General features: G+C 47.4%; 1 protein-coding gene across 11 annotated transcripts in view; it reads right to left on the bottom strand.

The window, feature by feature from the left end:
- Window positions 1–3874: 3874 nt before the first annotated feature.
- Window positions 3875–19992, bottom strand: part of THOC5 (THO complex subunit 5) — a 47879-nt gene continuing 31761 nt past the window's right edge. For 9 of the 11 annotated variants that reach the window (NM_003678.5, XM_005261797.2, NM_001002877.2 and 6 more), the window contains 8 exons: window positions 18994–19095; window positions 18004–18100; window positions 17002–17116; window positions 15259–15362; window positions 15025–15112; window positions 10017–10132; window positions 9102–9292; window positions 3875–6516 (listed from right to left, as the gene is read on the bottom strand). In NM_003678.5, the coding sequence (NP_003669.4) occupies window positions 6453–6516; window positions 9102–9292; window positions 10017–10132; window positions 15025–15112; window positions 15259–15362; window positions 17002–17116; window positions 18004–18100; window positions 18994–19095 (877 nt within the window). In that variant the 3' untranslated portion in view covers window positions 3875–6452. The remainder of the gene's footprint in view (window positions 6517–9101; window positions 9293–10016; window positions 10133–15024; window positions 15113–15258; window positions 15363–17001; window positions 17117–18003; window positions 18101–18993; window positions 19096–19992) is intronic. The other 2 variants (NM_001002879.1, NM_001002878.1) reach the window with 1 other exon arrangement.

Raw genomic sequence — 19992 nt, forward strand, 5'->3', positions numbered from 1 at the left:
GAGTGAGACTCTGTCTCAAAAAAAAAAAAAGAAAAGAAAAGAAAAGAAAATCGGCTGGGCGCAGTGGCTCACGCCTGTAATCCCAGCACTTTGGGAGGCTGAGGCAGGTGGATCATGAGGTCAGGAGATCGAGACCATCCTGGCTAACACGGTGAAACTGTCTCTATTGAAAATACAAAAAATTAGCCGGGCATGGTAGCGGGCGTCTGTAGTCCCAGCTACTCGGGAGGCTGAGGCAGGAGAATGGAGTGAACCCGGGAGGCGGAGCGTGCAGTGAGCCGAGATAGCGCCACTGAGTCCAGCCTGGGTGAAAGAGCGAGAATCCGTCTCAAAAAAAAAAAAAGGAAAGAAAATCAATTAATGTAGTACACTACCTTGCCTTAAAGAATGAAGGGGAGCTGGGCACGATGGCTCACACCTGTATTTCCAGGTACATGGGAGGCTGAGGTGGGAGAATTGCTTGAGCCCTGGAGTTGAAGGCTGCAGTGAGCTTTGATTGCACCACTGCACTCCAGCCTGGGTGACAGAGCAAAACCCTGTATCTAAAACAAAAAACACAAAACCAATGGTGAAAAGCTGAAAGCTTTTCCCCTAAGATCAGGAACAAGACAGAGATGCCCACTTTCACAGTTGTATTCAACACAGTACTGGCAGTCCTAGCCAGAGAAATTAGGCAAGAAAAAGAAAAGGCATCCAAATTGGAAAGGAAGAAATAGAACGATCTCTATTTGCAGATGACATTATCACATATATAGAAAATCCCAAATAATCCACAGTAAACCCTTTTATTTATTTATTTATTTAGAGACCAAGGTCTCACTTTGTCCCCAAGACTGGAGTGCACCTGTGTGATCATAGCTCACTGTAGCTTCCAACTTCTGGGCTCATGTGATCCTCCTGCCTTTGCCTTCTGAGTAGCTGGGACTACAATTATGCGCCACCATGCCTGGCTAATTTTTAAATCTTATTTTTGTATAGACAGGGCTTCACTATATTGCCCAGACTGGCAGAAAAGTTTTTTTTAATTACTAGAGTTAATAAATGAATTCAGTAAAGCAGCAGGGGACAAAGTCAACACACAAAGAACAATTGTATGTCTACTCACCAACAATGAACAATCAGAAAAAGAAATTAAGAAAATAATTCTATTTATAATAGTATCAAAAATAATAAAATACCTAGGGATAAATTTAACCAAGGAGGCAAAAGACTTATACACTAAGTTTCATTTAAATAGGACAGTGAATGTAAAAGTGTGATTAGCACAGGGCCTGACCCAAAATAGATGCTTAATGCCTATTCTCATCAGAGACACTGCTGAACGCCATAGAAAGGACAGAGTCGGCTACACCGACAGGGACAAAGTTCCTTTGGAAGTCTGGCAGCCCTGCTCCTTCCTAGGGATAGAGTTTTGCTTAGCTTTGCGGAGTGATCAGCAAGAACACCCTTAAGTTTATGAAAAGAGTCTGTGGAGTTATTTGCAGAGAAAATAGTAAGGGATAAGCTAGGAAGAAAATAAGGGAGAAACTAGAAGATACCAATAAATCAGGAATGTGGACGGCAGCTTTAAAAAGGCAAGGAACAGGCCTGACATGGTGGGTTCACGCCTGTAATCCTAGCACTTTGGGAGGCCGAGGTGGGAAGATTGCTTGAGGCCAGGAGTTCAAGACTAGCCTGGGCAACATAGCAAGACCTTGTCTCTACAAAAGAAAAAAAAATGTTTTAAAAAAATTGTAAAGGGGAAAAAAAAAAAAGCAAGGAACACAGGCTGAGTCCCAGGTACAAGAGAGCGACAGATGGGCTGCGGTCTGCGATATGCCCCAGAGTATAATCTGCCAAAAGTCCGTGGACAATTCCAGCTGAGGAGGAAGCTTCTAGGTCCTCCCAAGCCAGTCCCTTTCCCCCTAATCTGCCCACCCTTGGCATGAATGGCTAAGTAGCTCACAGGGGAGGGATTGACCTGGGCTTCTCGCTTGTTTTAAAATCCTCCTTAAAGCCAAGGGATTCTTTTGTTCAGTCTGCTTCTCTGGAAAGGGAAAATCTCTTCTGGAGGGTGACAGGCTCTGATATCCCCTGTCTAAGAAGCAAAGCCTCTTCCCAGCCCTCACAAGCCCTCTTTGAAATCTTGTCCCGGCTTCTGGAGATGAGCTTTTGTGCTGAGTCAGTTTGGCTGCCTTCCAGCCAAGAACAGAGAAGTGCAGGCTGCAATGCAGGGGCCATTAAACTATTTTTAGGCTCTATTTCAATCTTATTCAGCACAGGCGGTGAGACACAAGGCCTGAAGGTGGACAGACCAGGGGGATGCCGCCTGGGACAAAGTCCCAGGCAAGTAGGTCAGGGAAAAGACAAGGAGATCTCGCTATGTGGAGAGAAATACTTAGCCAGGCGCGGTGGCTCACGCCTGTAATCCTAGCACTTTGGGAGGCCGAAGCGGGCAGATCACGAGGTCAGGAGATCGAGACCATCCTGGTTAACATGGTGAAACCCCATCTCTACTAAAAATATAAAAAATTAGCATGGTGGTGGGCGCCTGTAATCCCAGCTACTCAGAAGGCTGAGGCAGGAGAATTGCGTGAACCCGGGAGGCTGAGGTTGCAGTGAGCCGAGATCATGCCACTGCACTCCAGCCTGGGCAACAGAGCGAGACTCCGTCTCAAAAAAAAAAAAAAAAAAAAAAAAAAAGCACCCAGATGCTCATGCTGCTACCCAAGTGCAGAAGACAGAAGAAAGACAGCTGCCCAGAGAATTTGGCCCTGTAGAGTCATCAAGAAAAATGAAGAAAGGGAAGGGAAGGGAAGAAAGTACAGTGCCTTCCATAAAGAGACCAGGGCAGCCTATACCCAGGGATCCTTGTTAAAAATACACTTCCTGGCTGGGCGTGGTGGCACGCACCTGTAATCCCAGCACTTTGGGAGGCCAAGGTGGGTGGATCACCCGAGGTCAGGAGTTTGAGACCAGCCTGGCCAACATGGTGAAACCCTGTCTCTACTAAAAATACAAAATTAGCCGCACACTTATAATCCCAGCTCTTGGGAGGCTAAGGCAGGAGAATCACTTAAACCGATGAGGTAGAGGTTGCAGTGAGCTGAGATTGCGCCCTTGCACTCTAGCCTGGGCGACAGAGCAAGGCTCAAAAAATAAAAATAAAAAAATACACTTCCTTGGTGCATCTCAGGTCAATTGAGTCAGAATATTTGGAATGGGACTTGGGTGTCTGTGTTTCTAATCAGGTGCCAGGATGGGTGACTCCCACACAGGCTGAAGTTCGAGGACCTCTGAGCTAGAGAGTACCTGCCTTTGGAATTCAAAGGACTGATGTGGACTGAGGGTAGCGGTGGTGATTTAACAGCCACCAAAGGTACCATTCTCTTCTCCTTGCTAGGCTCAGGTTTCTTTTCTTTTTCTGAATGGGGACTCACTATATTACACAGGCTGGTCTTGAACTCCTGGGCTCAAGCAATCCTCCTGCCTCAGCCTTCTGAATGGCTTGGATTATAGGCATGAGCCACCACGCCCAGCAAGGATCAGGTTTTCATCCGTAAAATGAACGGCCCTGCTAGGGGCAGGAATTTATTACTTAGCTCTTACTCTTAAAATCCTTATCCCTGGGATACTCAGTGGTCGGCAGAGAGACCTGGAGGAATAGCTTTTATACTGGAGGTCTGCATTATCCATGGAAAATCAGTAAAAGTCCACTTAGGGGGAATATGCTTATGATGGGAACCAAGCTTAACAGCATGTTGTGGGGGGATAAAGTTTCATCAGGACAATCACAAAAAATAAAATGTGTTTCCTCTTGGAGTTAGCAAACTATATCTGCAACTATGTAATAATTCTCAAATATTTTTACATTTCTACATCTTTTTTTTTTTTTCCAAGACGGAGTCTTGCTCTGTTGTCCAGATGGTGCAGTGGCACCATCTCGGCTCAGTGCAACCTCCGCCTCGGGGATTCAAGCAATTCTCCTGCCTCAGCCTCCCGAGTGGCTGGGATTACAGGCGCGCACCACCATGCCCAGCTAATTTTTGTATTTTTAGTAGAGACGGGGTTTCACCATGTTGGCCAGGCTGGTCTTGAACTCCTGATCTCAGGTGATCCGCCCACCAGCCTCCCAAAGTACTGATATTAAAGGCGTAAGCCACTGTGCCCAGCCCATCTTATTTTTTAAAATGAAGAATGGAGTACTGATGGTGGGGTCAAGATACACTTTTTGACAAAACTGTCCAAGAATAGTCTATGCCATCCTTTACTTTGACTTGCAGGAGTATTACAAAGGATGTAATTTTATGAACATTTTAAAGGTTGTTACCTATCTTCCCAAGACTTCTCTTAATCAAATAATTATATTTTGAGGCACTTTTGTCATTACCTTAAAGACTCTACTCAGGCCGGGTGTGGTGGCTCATGCCTATAATCCTAGCACTTTGGGAGGCCGAGGTGGGAGGATCATTTGAGCCCAGGAGTTTGAGACCAGCCTGGGAAAAATAGTGGGATCCCGCCTCTACAAAAAATTTAAAAATTAGCCAGAAATGGTGGCACACACCTGTGGTCCCAGCTACTTGGGAGGCTGAGGCAGGAGGATCACTTGAACCCAGGAGAGGTTGAGGCGGCAGTGAGCTGTGTTCGTGCCACTGCACTCCAGCCTGGACAACAGAGCAAGACCCTGTCTCAATAAAAAAAAAATATTCTCCTCAAATGTTACCTGGTCTCACTGTCCTGTATCTCTGTATGTGATTGATTCTCCAACACCACTCTCGCCATCTCCATGAAATCCTGTAAGACTTAGAATTACTCTCTGTGAAGTACAGTTGATCTCTGAACAATAGTTTGGACTCTGTGGGTCTATTATATGCAGATTTCTTTTTTTAAAATTTTTTAGAGATAGGGACTCGCATTGTTTCCCAGGCTGGAGTACAGTACAGGCACGATGAATAGCTCACTGCTACCTTGAACTCCTGGACTCCAGTCATCCGCCCACCTCAGCCTTCTGAGTAACTGGGACTATTGGTGCATACCACCACACCTGGCTGATTTTTAAATTTTTTGTAGATACAGGGTCTCTCACTACGTTGCCCAGGCTGGACCTGAACTCCTGGCCTCAAGGGATCCTCCCGCCTTAGCTTTCCAAAGTACTAGGATTACAGTCATGAGTCCCTGCACAGATTTTGTTCAATAAAAATAACAGTGGTGCCTGCCTCCCCCTCCACCTCCCCCACTTTTTCTGCCTCTGCCATCCCTGAGACACCAAGACCAACCCCTCCTCTTCCTTAGACTATTCAACCCTGAGACAGTATGTGAAGACCTTTATGGTGATCCACTTCTACTTAATAGTAGATATATATTTTCTTCCTTATGGCTTTCTTATTTATTTATTTTTGAGACGGAGTCTCACTCTCGCCCAAGCCGGAGCGCAGGAGCGTGATCTTGGCTTACTGCAACCTCTGCCTCATGGGTTCAAGTAATTCTGCCTCAGCCTCCTGAGTAACTGGGACTACAGGCATGCGCCACCACGCTTGGCTAATTTCCATGTTTTTAGTAGAGACAGGGTTTCACCATGTCGGCCAGGCTGGTCTCAAACTCCTGACCTCAAGTGATCCACCCGCCTTGGCCTCCCAAAGTGCTGGGATTACAGACGTGAGCCACTGCACTCAGGCCCCCTTGTGACTTTCCTTATAACATTTTCTTTTCTCTAGTTTACTGTATTGTAAGAATACAGTGTATAAGATACAAAATATATACTGAAAATATGTACTGACTATGTTAGCAGTAAGTAACTACTAATAGCATACTACTGGTCAACAGCAGGCTATTAGTTAAGTTTTTAGGGAGTCAAAAGTTATACACGGATTTTTCAACTGTGCAGGGCAGGGGGTGTTGGTGCCCCTAACCCCTGAGTTGTTCAAGGATCAACTGAGTTTGTCTTCTGTTTGCACTGCACTGTCAGACATTTATAACATCCAACGATCAGAGACAATTTGTCCATCGGCAACCCTGACAGGACTAATGGGAAGAGCGGGTGGGGAGGGAAGAGTTTTGCTTTTTGTGCTCTGCTGCCTTTGGCTTCTCCTACCACCTCTTAACAGCAGGAACTTGGGATAATAAATACAAGATCATGAGGACCTCACCCCGCAAAGCACAAATAGGGTGTGCGTAGACAAGAGGTGAGCATCTCTCTGCAGAATTGGAATCTTTTTCCACTCTGCTTTTATTGGCTGCTGAGAAAAAGTCTCTCTACAAATGCTTTTTCACACTGTGTCACAGCTCCCACCTGCCCTTCCAGACTGCAAAGCCACCTTGCCAGGAACCACAGACAAAGGCCACTGGTCAGGTGACGCTTTTTAATTGGCTGGTGTCTTTGGAGAATATCAAGAGTCACATGTGGGCCAGAGCAGAAAGCAGAAGCCCAGTGCTCAGGGTGAGGCCTTGGGGGAAACAACGGTCTGCGCGGGAGATCAGCGATGGCTGAAGAATCCCTGAGGATGGTTGTATTTAAATGGCTTCATCCTGCTAGGACCCCTAGAGAAATAGGAGAACGGAGTTGTTAATAACACACCTTCTAGGCTGATAAAATAAATTATGGTTCATTCACACAAGGGAAAAAGAAGAGGCAGAGTTACATGACACAGAATGTTGTTGAGAAAAGCATACGGCAGAACAACATATAAGGTGCGATACTATTTTTGTAAAAATGTCTTTTTGTGCTTGCAAATGAGTGAACACAAACTTGGAAAGGCCCTCACTGACAGTGGCACTTCGGGGACATAGCTTTAGGCACCCTCACTTTTTAGGATTGTTCCTTTTTTTATTTTTTGAGACGGAGTCTCTGTGTCGCCCAGGCTGGAGTGCAGTGGCGTGATCTCGGCTCACTGCAACCCCTGCTTCCCGGGTTCAAAGGATTTTTGTACCTCAGCCTCCCAAGTAGCTGGGATTACAGGCATGCACCACCACGCCCGGGTTTAGGTTGAGGTTTAGTTTAGGTTTTGCCATGTTGGCCAGGCTGGTGGAACTCCTGGCCTCAGGTCTCTTGCTGCCCATGCCAGCACTCTGCATCCTGGCCGGAGAGCCTTGCCTCTCACATCTACCGGCCATAGAGTTAACTGGATCTGAGTCACTGAAGGAGCACCTTCCCAGAATGCTGACAGAGGAGCTCAGCCTGGAGACACAACAAAGCCCTTCAAGAATGGGGTCCTTTGGCCGGGAGGTGGAGGTTGCAGTGAGCCGAGATCATGCTACTACACTCCAGCCTGGGCGACAGAGTGAGACTCTGTCTCAAAAAAAAAAAAAAAAAGAAAAAAGAAAAAGAAATGGGTCCTTTGGGAACCACTGGAGAAGAGGAAATCAATGCTGGCCATGTGAGAATTCCCACCCTGGCAATGTGCTAGAATGGGCTGGGCAGGTGAGAAGAGCAGAGGTCTCACACAAGCCCTCTAGGGAGAGAGCAAGTCCTAGAAGGTGCCAGCATCTGGCCACCAGCTCCACCTCCCAGCAGCCACTCAGAGCTGGAACTGGTTATTATGAGATAACATAATGAACCAGGCCAGTGGAGGTGTCAGATGAGGTGAAAGGATGCTGGGACTGCTTCTAGGGGCTAGAACTGGCTGTCTGAGAACAAGGTGAGGGAGAGGTAAGGCACTGTTTAGACTGACAGGGAACAGAGAACAAGGTGAGGGAGAGGTAAGGCACTGCTTAGACTGACAGGGAACAGAGAACAAGGTAAGGGAGAGGTAAGGCACTGCTTAGACTGACAGGGAACAGAGAACAAGGTGAGGGAGAGGTAAGGCACTGCTTAGACTGACAGGGAACAGAGAACAAGGTGAGGGAGAGGTAAGGCACTGCTTAGACTGACAGGGAACAGAGAACAAGGTGAGGGAGAGGTAAGGCACTGCTTAGACTGACAGGGAACAGAGAACAAGGTGAGGGAGAGATAAGGCACTGTGTAGACTGACAGGGAACAAGGGGGGATGTTCTGATTAGAAACAGATTATCACTCTTCTTCCTTCCCAAACACTGCTCCCCGCCAACCTCATGCAGAAGGGAAGGGATGCCTGAGCAGTGAAATCTGCAGTTTTGAAACTGACTCTTAAAAGAACATGAGTTAGAGGCTGAAAGGGAAATAAAGGACCCAAAATGAAAGAGAAAGGAAAAGTAGCTGGAAGTGCCATGAGCCCAGACACTCTTGAGTACCAAGCTGTCAGGAACTGCTGGCATTTTCCGAGTCCCAGTCCTGTGCCAGGACTTTATATGAATTACTTCTGCTTCATCATGAGCTAGAAGGTATTACTTTCACCATTTCTGTCTTTAGAAAATAGGGGTCAGGCACAATGGCTCATGCCTGTAATCCCAGCACTTTGGGAGGCTGAGACAAGCTGATCACTTGAGCCTAGGAGTTTGAGACCAGCCTGGCTAATATGGTGAAACCCCATCTCTACAAAAAAATTTAAAAATTAGTTGCGTGTGGCGGTGCATGTCTGTGGTCCCAGCTACTAGGGAGGCTGAGGCGGAAGGATCGTTTGAGCTCCAGAGGTCAAGACTGCAAGGCTACAGTGGGCTATGATCATGCTGCTGCACTCCAGTCTGGGCAAGAGAGTAAGACCGTGTCTCAAAGAAAAGGAAACAAACAAACAAAAAGCTGGAGGAGGGCTCAGAGCTAAGCAGAACTGACTCTTCTAAGGTCAGCAGCAAAACAGAGATCTGCACTCCTATCTGTTTTACTTTGAAGCTGGTTCCTTCTGTGCCACCTGACTGCCTAAGCTGTGATTCTCACTGACAGGACAGTACCCTAGAAAGACCACAGCAGACTCCCTGGGGACAGGCGAGGATGCACACAGTTTAAAAAGCTTATTTGGACACTAAAAAGCAAACAAACTCTATTGTTTTCCACAGAAAGTATAGAAAATAAAGTTCAGCCAAATCCTCTTGGCTCAGACCTGGCACTAACACCTTCAGGAGGTGTTAGTGAAAAACAGGTGGACCAGAGTGATAGGCATCGGCTGCAGGGGAAGTTTCAGGAAGGAAGAAGCAAGCTCTCCCCAGAAAATCTGGCTCTGATCTCTGTCCCACATCACCATGAGAAGTCACCAGAGCCCCAACCCTCTCCTCACCTGAAGAGCCGCAGACACATCTTCTCCTGGGGAAATTCCTTGGGCCCCTCCACACTGTCGTCATGGCTCTCGGTCTCCAGGTAAACATCCAGCAGCACACACAGCCGCTGCAGCTGGTTGGTCAACAGCTGGTGGCTGGGCCAAGGGCCACACAGCTCCTTGTAGCACACATTGACTTCGCCCTCCATGGCCTGTGTGATAGGAAAGCCAGCATCTCAGCACTACCTTCCTGCATGTGGGGGACCACACTGGCCAGGCTTCCGTCCCTGGATGGGCCCGAGCGCTGATGCCTCTGCAGGGGCTGGGCCAGGGGCTAGGCCATCAGATCAAGCTAGACTGGCTTGTCCTCAGGCCCCCTCATCAAGACAATGAGGTCTTCCTGATTCTGACCCATAGCTTTCCCTGCCTCATATGCCCACAGCCAGGAAAACAGAGGTGTGCAGGGAAGCAGTCTCAAAATAAGACCTAAGTCAGAAGATGTTGGTTAAAAACGTGTTCCATGGCATGTTTGACTTAGTAGCAGCAATGCTGATTAACAACTGCAATGCTGATTAACAGCTGCAATGCTGATTAACAACTGCAGTGATGTCATTCCTCATGTCATTCCAGTGCTTCTATAATGCTTCAGAGCTTATTCACATTTTTTATAGGAGCCCAAGCCAATAACCTTTCAAGGTAGGTATTTCTCCTTACTCTCTAAGTGGGGAAACCTGTGGACCCCAAGGTAGGCAAGTAGGTCTGGGCTCTTTCCTCTAGTACACCACACAAGCTCCAGCAAATTCTGCAAATCCTGGCACAACCTTCTGTTTTGGGAATTAAGGCAGTGCCCAAGTCCTCAGCTGCAGTGGGTTCTGCCACGGCCACCTCCCCCGGGAGCTCTGCCTGCTCCTCCTGTCATCCCCAGCTGGGTCTTACCCGAATGTTGTCATCGTTGCTGTTGGTTTTCTCCCCTTTCCAGTTCAAACAGAGCTGGAAAACAGGTGGGATGGAGGAGTAGCCAGGGTTCAACACCACAGCGGCCTGCAGTTTGGCTGGGAAGAGAGGAGAGAGGGGAAATGCGCAGTTCTAAGACTCAGCTTGCCAGCCATGGCAGCCTCCCCACTGCACCCCTGAGGCTAGCTCAGATGTCTCCTATTAATCTGAATGCTGCAGAGTATATTCTGGTACCAACTGTTCCAGAATGTCCTAAGTGGAATTGCCAGCTTGCAGAATGTGAGGTCCTATAATTGGTCTCTCCAAGGACTTTGACATATTTACTGTGCCACAAAGCTGCGGACTCCCCAGAGTCTGGTCCACCTTGGCTCTCTCCATGAGTTCTATTTGCTACTTTGATAGAAGTGTAATTGTCATTTCTTTATTTGCCAGCAAGCTAAGGTTTTCTCCATGTGAAAGCTTACTAATTTTTCAACAATACTGTGTATCAACTATCACATCAAATATATTTTCTCTATTTTCTTCATTTGATTTTTACATACTTTGTTACATAAAATTCTGTATACTAGCCAACATGTAGAGAGTCCTTACTGTATCCCAGGCACTGTGCTAAACCCTCTAGACACATTTTATTTCATCCTAACAATAATTCTATGAGTTAGGTACTATTATCCTCATCCTCATTTTACACATAAAGAAACAGGCTCTGACAGAAACTTCCCTACCATCAAATAGTTGGAAGGTAGCAGTGCTGAGTTTAACCAGAACTGGCTGATATCAAAGCTGTGTTCATAATCATTAAACAAAATATTTGTGTTTTTGAACATACTCATTTATTCTCTGGTGAAAGCCTTTGCCTTTTTCAACAGGAAGACATTTATCTTCTCAAGTGGGATAGGTATGCCATTCCTTTTTAGTTATTTTTAGGGGGGAGACTTTCACTCTCTGACCACTAGTTATTCAAATAACAGAGGAGAGGAGAGGTTAACACAATTCTTCCCTAACAGTCAGAACATTAATTAAAAAGTTGTGGCTGGCGCGGTGGCTCACGCCTGTAATCCCAGCACTTTGGGAGGCCGAGGTGGGCGGATCACGAGATCAGGAGATCGAGACCATCCTGGCTAACATGGTGAAACCCCGTCTCTACTAAAAATACAAAAAATTAGCTGGGCGTGGTGGTGGGCGACTGTAGTCCCAGCTACCAGCTACTCAGGAGGTTGAGGCAGGAGAATCGCTTGAATCCAGGAGGTGGAGCTTGCAGTGAGCAGAGATCGTGCCACTGCACTCCAGCCTGGGTGACAGAGCAAGACTCCGTCTCAAAAAAAAAAAAAAAAAGTTGCTTTACCTCCCCCTGTCCCCAAAAAAGAGTGTTCTGGACTGGGCATGGGGGGTCACGCCTATAATCCCAGCACTTTGGGAGGCAGAAGTGGGTGGATCACTTGAGGTCAGGACCAGCCCAGCCAACATAGTGAAATCTCATCTCTAGTAAAAATACAAAAATTAGCCAGGCCTAGTGGGACATGCTTGTAATCCCAGCTGCTTAGGAGGCCAAGACGGGAGGGTCACTTGAACCTGGTAAGGTGGAGGTTGCAGTGAGCTGAGATCATGCCACTGTACTCCAGCCTACGCAACAAAGCAAGACTCCGTCTCAAAATAAATAAATAAAAAGTGCTTTCTGGCCAGGCGTCGTGGCTCACGCCTGTAATCCCAGCACAATGGCAGGCTGAGGCAGAAGGATGGTTTGAAGCCAGAAGTTTAAGACCAGCCTGGTCAACATAGCAAGTCCTCATCCCTATAAAGAATTAAATAAATAAAAAATAAAAATAAAATAAAAAGTATTTTCTTTCTCTGCTGCTGTATTGCTTCTGTCCTAATAATCAGCATACATTTCTGGATTTATCTCTGTTCATCAATTTTTTTTTTTTTTTTGAGACAGAGTCTCGCTCTTGTTACCAAGGCTAGAGTGCAATGGCCCAATCTCAGCTCACTGCAACCTCCGCCTCCCAAGTTCAAGCGATTCTCCTGCCTCAGCCTCCCAAGTAGCTGGAATTACAGGCATGCGCCACCGCGCCCAGCTAATTTTTGTATTTTTAGTAGAGACGGGTTTTCACCATCTTGGCCAGGCTGGTCTTGAACTCCTGACCTCGTGATCCACCCGCCTCCACCTAAAAGTGCTGGGATTACAGGCGTGAGCCACCACGCCCAGGCTGTTCACCAATTTTTAAATTCACACTACAGAAAGTTTCCAAATGGATCTGTTGTAGAATGACTGAAGAATTTTTTTTTTTTTTTTTTTGAGATGGAGTCTCGCACTGTCACCCAGGCTGGAGTGCAGTGGCGCCATCTCAGCTCACTGCAAGCTCCGCCTCCCGGGTTCACGCCATTCTCCTGCCTCACCCTCCCGAGTAGCTGGGACTACAGGCGCCCGCCACCAGGCCCGGCTAATTTTTTGTATTTTTAGTAGAGATGGGGTTTCACCATGTTAGCCAGGATGGTCTCCATCTCCTGACCTCGTGATCCGCCCGCCTCGGCTTCCCAAAGTGCTGGGATTACACACCTGAGCCACCGCACCCGGCCATGACTGAAGAATTATATTTGCAATTGTTGCCCACTTATTCGTCTAAATTTTGCTTTTCAATTTCACAATGCACTCAAATGAAAAAATATATATATATATATTTTTTGAGACGGAGTCTTGCTCTGTCACCCAGGCTGGAGTGCAGTGGCTCGATCTTGGCTCACTGCAAGCTCGAACCTTCCGGGTTCGAGCAATTCTCCTGCCTCAGACTCCCAAGTAGCTGAGATTACAGGTGCCCACCACCAACCCCGGCTAACTTTTATATTTTTAGTAGAGACAGGGTTTGCTATGTTGGCCAGGCTGGTCTTGAACTCCTGACCTCAAGTGATCCTCCCACCTCAGCCTCCCAAAGTGCTGGGATTACAGGCATGGGCCACCATGCCCAGCCCATAAAGTACTTTTAAATTAAGGTATATATATTGTTTTTTGTTGTTGTTTTTTTTGAAAGAGAGTCTTGCTCTGTCGCCCAGGCTGGAGTGCAGTGGCATGATCTCGGCTCATTGTAACCTCCACCTCCTGGGTTCAAGCGATTCTCCTGCCTCAGCCTCCTGAGTAGCTGGGACTACAGGTGCATGCCACCATGCCCAGCCAATTTTTGTATTTTTAGTAGAGACAGGGTTTCACTATGTTGGCCAGGCTGGTCTCGAACTCCTGACCTCAGGTGATCTGCCCACCTCAGCCTCCCAGAATGCTGGGATTATAGGCATGAGCCACTGCGCCCGGCTGTATATTGTTTTTTAAAAACATGATGCTATTGTACACTTAGACTATAGTGCAAACATAACTTTTATACGTACTGGGAAACCAAAAAATTTGTGTCACCTACTTTATTGCAAAGTTTGCTTTATTGTGGTAGTCTGCAACTGAACCTGCAATATCTCTGAGGTATGCCTGTACTTTATGTTGTTTAGGGATGAGATAAAAGGAAGACCGGGTGTGGTGGTTCATGCCTGCAATCCCAGCACTTTGGGAGGCCGAGTTGGGAGGATCACTTAAACCTAGGAGTTCGAGACTGGCCTGGGCAACAAAGCAAGACCTTATCTCTACAAAAAAAAAAAAAAAAAATTAGCCAAGCATGGTGGTGCACATTTGTAGCCCCAGCTACTCAAGAGGCTGAGGTAGGGAAATGACTTGAGCCCAGGCAGTTGAGGCTGCAGTGAGCCATGACTGAGCCACTGTACTCCAGTCTAGGCAACAGAGCAAGACCCTGTCTCAAAAAATAAGTTAAATTAAATTTTGAAAGGGGAGAGGCCAGGCATGATGGCTGATGCCTACAATCCCAGCACTTTGGAAGAAAGGCCAGGAGTTTGAGACCAGGCTTGGCAACATAGTAAGAACATGCCTCTACAAAAAAACAAAAACAAAAACAAAAAATCTTAGCTGAGCATGGTAGCATACCTGTAGTCGCAGCTACTCAGGGAGCTAAGGTGGAAGAAGGATTGCTTGAGTCCAGGAGTTCAAGATTGCAGTGAGCTATGATCGTGCCACTGCACTCCAGCCTGGGCGACAAAGCAAGACCTTATCTCTACTGAAAAAAAAAAAAAAAAGGGTGTAGCGGGGAAAGGATGGAAAGCAAATGCATAAAATCCAAATAGTGGTCACTTATTAGGAGAAAGGGAATAAAGTGGGATAGGGAGGCCTCAACTGTATCTGAAATATTCAGTTTCTTCAGAATTTTTTTTTTAAAAGACATGAAGAATAGAAAGAGAAGAAAGTGGGGTAGTGAGGACAGAAACTCTGATACCAAAGAGTTCAGCCTTTCCTTACAGTTCTGGAACTGTCTTAGAACTACAGACAACTTCCTCAGCTCAGCACCAAGTCTTGAGGGTGTCAGATCCCACGGGCAGTGCCAGGCTTGCTGCGGCTTGGGTGGGACAACAGCACAACGGCCCAAACACAACATCCCAGGACTTCAGCAGGGAGCCCTGGCAGAGTCAGATGCCAGAAGAGGTATGAAGAATCAGAGCTTTCAATGCCTCTAAAGTGAGTGCAGGGACTGCAGAAGAGGGAGCGAGGCCCTGTGGCCCTGCCCTTTACAACCTGAGGGTGACACCTCAGCCCTGTTATGAAGAGGGAGAAGGAGGAGATGTCCGGTACTAGAAAGCGGTGAAGGAAGGAGCAAAGAGCTCAGGCTCAGCGCTCAGACTGGGCTTGCAACTAAGCCTGAATTTCCTCCCATGTAAAATAGAAATGAAAGCACCACCCCTAGGACTGCAGTGAGGGTTCAGTGATACACAGCGTGTGTGTGACTGTGTTGCAGAATGAGTCCTTGCTGAACAGGCTCTCACGATCATTATTATCTGTTAAGTCCTTGCAGGACTCCAGGATCTTCTGCTTTGGGCAGCCCCGGAGAGTGTTTGATTCTTGGCAGCGCCCTTTGTCTAGAACCCCTGTAATCAGCAGAGCAATTACCTGTGCCCCTTTCGATGAGCGCCATGTAGTAGAGATTGGTGTCCCCAGCCAGTCCCGCATCCACAATGTCTTTGGTGAAGTGCAGCTCCTAGAAGAGGTACCACAGACAAGAGGTGAACTGCTGGCTCCTCTGGTTAAACCCCCTGCTCTTCCAGTGAGGTGGCAGGAGCTGAAAGGTGACATGGTCCTGCAATCCTCAGGACAGTAAGGGTAACTTGTCACTCCTTCACCTACCATGTAATCCTCATGGGCAACTGTCACCCATTTCACCAGGCGAGAGACAACCTTGGCAGGGAAGAGGTACTGGCAATCACTGGTAACTGGCACAATGCCATGTTCTAAAAGAGAACAAGACAGATGACGTCACAGGTAGAAATCAGGTGCCACAGATGGGTAACTAGCATCCTCCTGGGGCTCTCTGAAGGGCTCAGATGGCCCGGCCAGCTATCCTGGTATACCTGGTACTCAGGAAGTACCCAGGTCAACACGTGCCAGGAATGCAAGCATGTCAACCTGACCTTCACCCAGTGCTATGTGCTTGTGGCCAGATCCAGTGCCAGCACTTATGGTGCTTTCTCTTTAATGCAAATGATAGCCTGCCAAAGAAAAACCCTTACAGTCAGAACTAGGGAGGGTGCCCCTGCAGCAGTGACTGTTAATTAGATCAAATAGCATAGAGGCCTGTGTTTTCATAGCTGACCTTGATGGAGGAAACAACTGAAGTGTTGTGTGTCAGGGAGAAGAGCCAGATAACTGCTCCAGGGTAAATTCCTGCTGGCATTTAAATAAGCAAATATGCCAACACAGTAAGTACTGTCCAGAATGACAAGTTCCCTACCTTGGGACAAAACAAACTCAGCAGTGCTGATGGGGAGCACGGCCCGATGGACAAACATCAGTGCTCTGGAGAGATCGGCAGCCATGTGGAGTCTAAGAACTGGTGGGGAGTGGTCTCCAGATGTGTCCTGGAAACCCAATGCCTTTCCTGACAGAGACTCTTTTTTATTTTTTACTTTTTATTTTGAGATGGAGTCTCGCTTTGTTGCCCAGGCTGGAATACAGTGATGCGATCTCAGCTCACTGCAACTTCCGCCTCTCAGGTTCAAGCAATTCTCCTGCTTCAGCCTCCTGAGTAGCTGGGAATACAAGTGCACACCACCATGCCCAGCTAATTTTTGTATTTTTAGTAGAGACGGAGTTTCACCATGTTGGCAGGCTGGTCTTGAACTCCTGACCTCAAGTGATCTGTCTGCCTTGGCCTCCCAAAGTGCTGTGATTACAGGCAAGAGCCACTGCGCCTGTCCCAGAGACTCTTTTAGGTCAGAAAAATCTTGACCCCATCCCCCTGCCACATGGTAAGCATTTGACAACCACTTACTGAGTGAATAAACTAAAAGAAGCCCCCAAATGCCACCACCTAAGTCAGTGGCTCATCATTATCACTTGGGAGCTTAGAAGAAAACATAGGCTCAGCCTCACCCTGGGGAACACGAGGTCAGTAGGCCTTGGGGAAGGGATATGCGAGTTGCTCCCTGGATAGCTATATTCAAAAAGCTGACTGTGAGCCACAGAGCCAGGGGCAGGGGTTCACTGTGCTCAGTTCTTCCCCCAGCACTATGCTCAGTGCCTGGCATGAATCAGGATCTCACTAAATATGTGTCGAATGCACATCAAAATCTGCAATGCATGACCTAGGATGAACTGCCCCGACCAGTCCACAAACTTGTGCCACCCAATGGCTCTGGGCCTCCTCTGTGAGGCAGGACAGCACTGATGGCTCTAAGGGGGAGCTCGGTCCTCTGCCTGGACAGGCCTGGAGCTCTCCCCAGTGGCTCTGCCAAGATGCCCACTCCGTAAAGCCAGGAATCCAGGTCTTGTATTTGTCATCAGGATTCAAGTTTTGAGTGAAAGGCTAAGTTGTTGTTGTCCGTGTGTTGTCTGAGTGACTCTTAAACCACTGCCCCATCATCAGCTTACCTAGGGATGCAAACTGTTTGTGGAGGGCCAGGCGGGACTGCACCCTGGTCTTCAGAAGTTTCATGGTGGTCTCCATGTGGCTGGCGCTCAGCGAGTGGTCAGCAATCACTGTTTGCTGTGAGTGACAATGAGACACATACACGTGTGCTCCCCCATCCCTTCCTCCGGGCACCATCTCTCTCCTGGGACCTGCCTGTCTGCGGCACCCTGGATTATCCATGCCCCAAGATGGGTACCCTTTAGACATGGCAAGGTTTATCTGCTATGACAGGCCAGACGCTGAGTCCTGGCAGAAACAACACAATATGCTGCGTTCTTGAGAAGCTGTGTCCAACTCCTGAGGAAAGGCAGGCTTCTGCTAAGGGGCCAGGCCCCCTGGATTTCTGCTCATGCCTCATATTTGGTACTTGCACACAAGAACAAGGGCAGCAGAGCCTGCAGACATGAGTCCCAGAGCAAGGACTCAAGTTGCCTGGGTCTAAAAGGCTACTAGGCTCAGAGAAAATGCAAAAGGTACGTAAACTCTTGTAAGTCTAAGACATTTTAGTGTCCTGAGTGGATAGAAGACAGGTCACAGCCCTGAGGGGACACATTCTGCCAGTTCAAAACTCCAAAGGCCATGACAGGCCTTTTTTTTTTTTTTTGAGACGGAGTTTTGCTCTTGTTGCCCAGGCTGGAGTGCAGTGGCATGATCTCAGCTCACCGCAACCTCTGCCTCCCTGGTTCAAGTGATTCTCCTGCCTCAGCCTCCTGAATAGCTGGGATTATAGGAACGTGCCACCACACCCAGCTAATTTTTTGTATTTTTAGTAGAGATGGGGTTTCATCATGTTGGCCAGGCTGGTCTCAAACTCCTGACCTCAGGTGATCCACCTGCCTCAGCCTCCCAAAGTACAAGGATTATAGGCATGAGCCACCGCACCTGGCCTGGCCTTTCTAGAGTCTATACAGGAAGAGAAGAGGTAAGCTCCTCAGCCAACTAGATGAGATCAGTGTACAGACCTGGGGCTGCTCTTTGGGGAAGTGGAGGCCACCCAGCTTCTGCACCCACAAATAGGGGTGACCTAGCTCAAGTACATAGTCGCTCAAAGTCAGGATGCTGCAGAAAAGAAGATAAATAAAATTGTGCTGTAAGTCATTTCTGCTGTGGTCCCAGGATACAGCCTCCTCCCACCCTCCCATGCCCCACAAACCATCCAGTCCTGCAGGTTTGGCCATGTTCACAGCCAGGCTGCTGGCAAAGCCCTTCAACTTTGTCAGTTCCCTACTGTGAATTTCATCTCTCTCACATTCACTTTCCTCTTTTTCCTTTTCTTCTTGCAGCCTTCAACTTATAAGCAAATATCAAATACAAAGGCAGTGTACTAATGTCTTTATTGGTCTACCAATTTAGAAAATCTTTTAAAAATTAATCCTCGGATAATTAAAATGTCAAACATTTTTATTGTATCACGTATTATTATGCTTCCAGAGGGTTTTTTTTGTTTTTCTTTTTGTTTTTGTTTTGAGACAGGGTCTGGCTCTGTTGCCCCCAGGCTGGAGTACAGCGACATGACCATGGCTCACTGCAGCCTCAACCTCCTGGGCTCATGCAATTCTCCCACCTCAACCTCCCCAGTAGCTGGGACTACAAATGCCCACCACCATGCCTGGCTAATTTTTGTATTTCTTGTAGAGACAGGGTTTTGCCATGTTGCCCAGGCTGGTATCGAACTCCTGAGCTCAAGGAATCCACCTGCTTTGGCCTTCCAAAGTGCTGGGATTACAGGCGTGAGCCACCACACCCAGCATGTTTCCGAGTTTTGATCCTTCCACCCTTTTTGTGATCTCCCTTTGCCTTGTAAGCAAGAAAGAACAAACATTTCCTTCTACCCTGTGGTCTTTCCTATCCTCTGGGTCACCTCTGGCCCTAACAGGTCTCCAGCATTTAGCTTGAGCCACCAGAGAAACTCAGAAGTAGAGAGCTCGGAGAGGAGGAAACTGCTGACTCACCCAACTTTATCAAACTGATACTGATTGGCTGGATTCGGAGTTTTCTTTCCATGATCCCCAGGATACAAGCAACTCAGGACTGAGTCAGGAGACAGCAAGTCACTAGAAAAGGAAAAACAGTAAGCAGTGAGAATGCAGCCAACATCTTTCTTCAACATAGGCTTGGGCATTTGGGGATGGTAATGCCACGTCTCACTGATGACCAATGCCACCATTTATTGAAGGCTTTCTGTGGGCCAGACCGTTTATATGCTTGAGGTCATTGCATCCTTACAACCCTATGAGGGAGGATTATCATTTCCATTTTATAGAGGAAAAACTCAAGGCTTTAAAAGATATGGCTTATTCAAGATCACACTGCTAGTAAGTGCTAGAGGTGGCTTTATATTGTCTGATCAAACAGACTAGTACTCTTAATCATTAATTTTTAAAAAACTCATCCCTTCAAGATTTATATGGTGCCTAAGGCCTTACCTCAGGGGAGCAAAGTCCCATGACACCATCAGTAGAAATAATTTCAATTTTCATAAAAGCAGAACAGACTCCTTTCTGCTACAGAGAGAACAAGTGTATAGCTTTGGTGCTATGTCTATCTCACTTTGACCAAATCTTATGCTCATCACAGGAAAAGGCCCCCTGTATGTTCCCAGAAAAAGATACAATCACATACACTGGAGACCCACAGCTACAAGCGGAGAGAAATAGTGACGCCACTGCCACCCACCTGGGATGGTTCGGGCACAGTTTGTCATTAAATGTGACAAGCAAAAAAGAGATAATGTGGGAGGGTAATGTAGTAATTTTATCACAAAGGATGACAAGGCCCATTCTTTCCCTGAACCAAAGGGGGTTCTCCTTCATCTTTCCATGGATAACGTCAGGAGCAACTTGGGCAGCACGTGCCGGTCCTGCGTTTTGGCCCCAGCATGCCTTCAGGAACTCCATGCTAGGACAGTGGAGGCTTCCAGCTCTTCCCTACTGTGTCTCACTGAGTATCCC

Source organism: Homo sapiens, chromosome 22, assembly GCF_000001405.40.
Source record: "Homo sapiens chromosome 22, GRCh38.p14 Primary Assembly".
NCBI classification, from domain to species: Eukaryota; Metazoa; Chordata; class Mammalia; order Primates; family Hominidae; genus Homo; species Homo sapiens.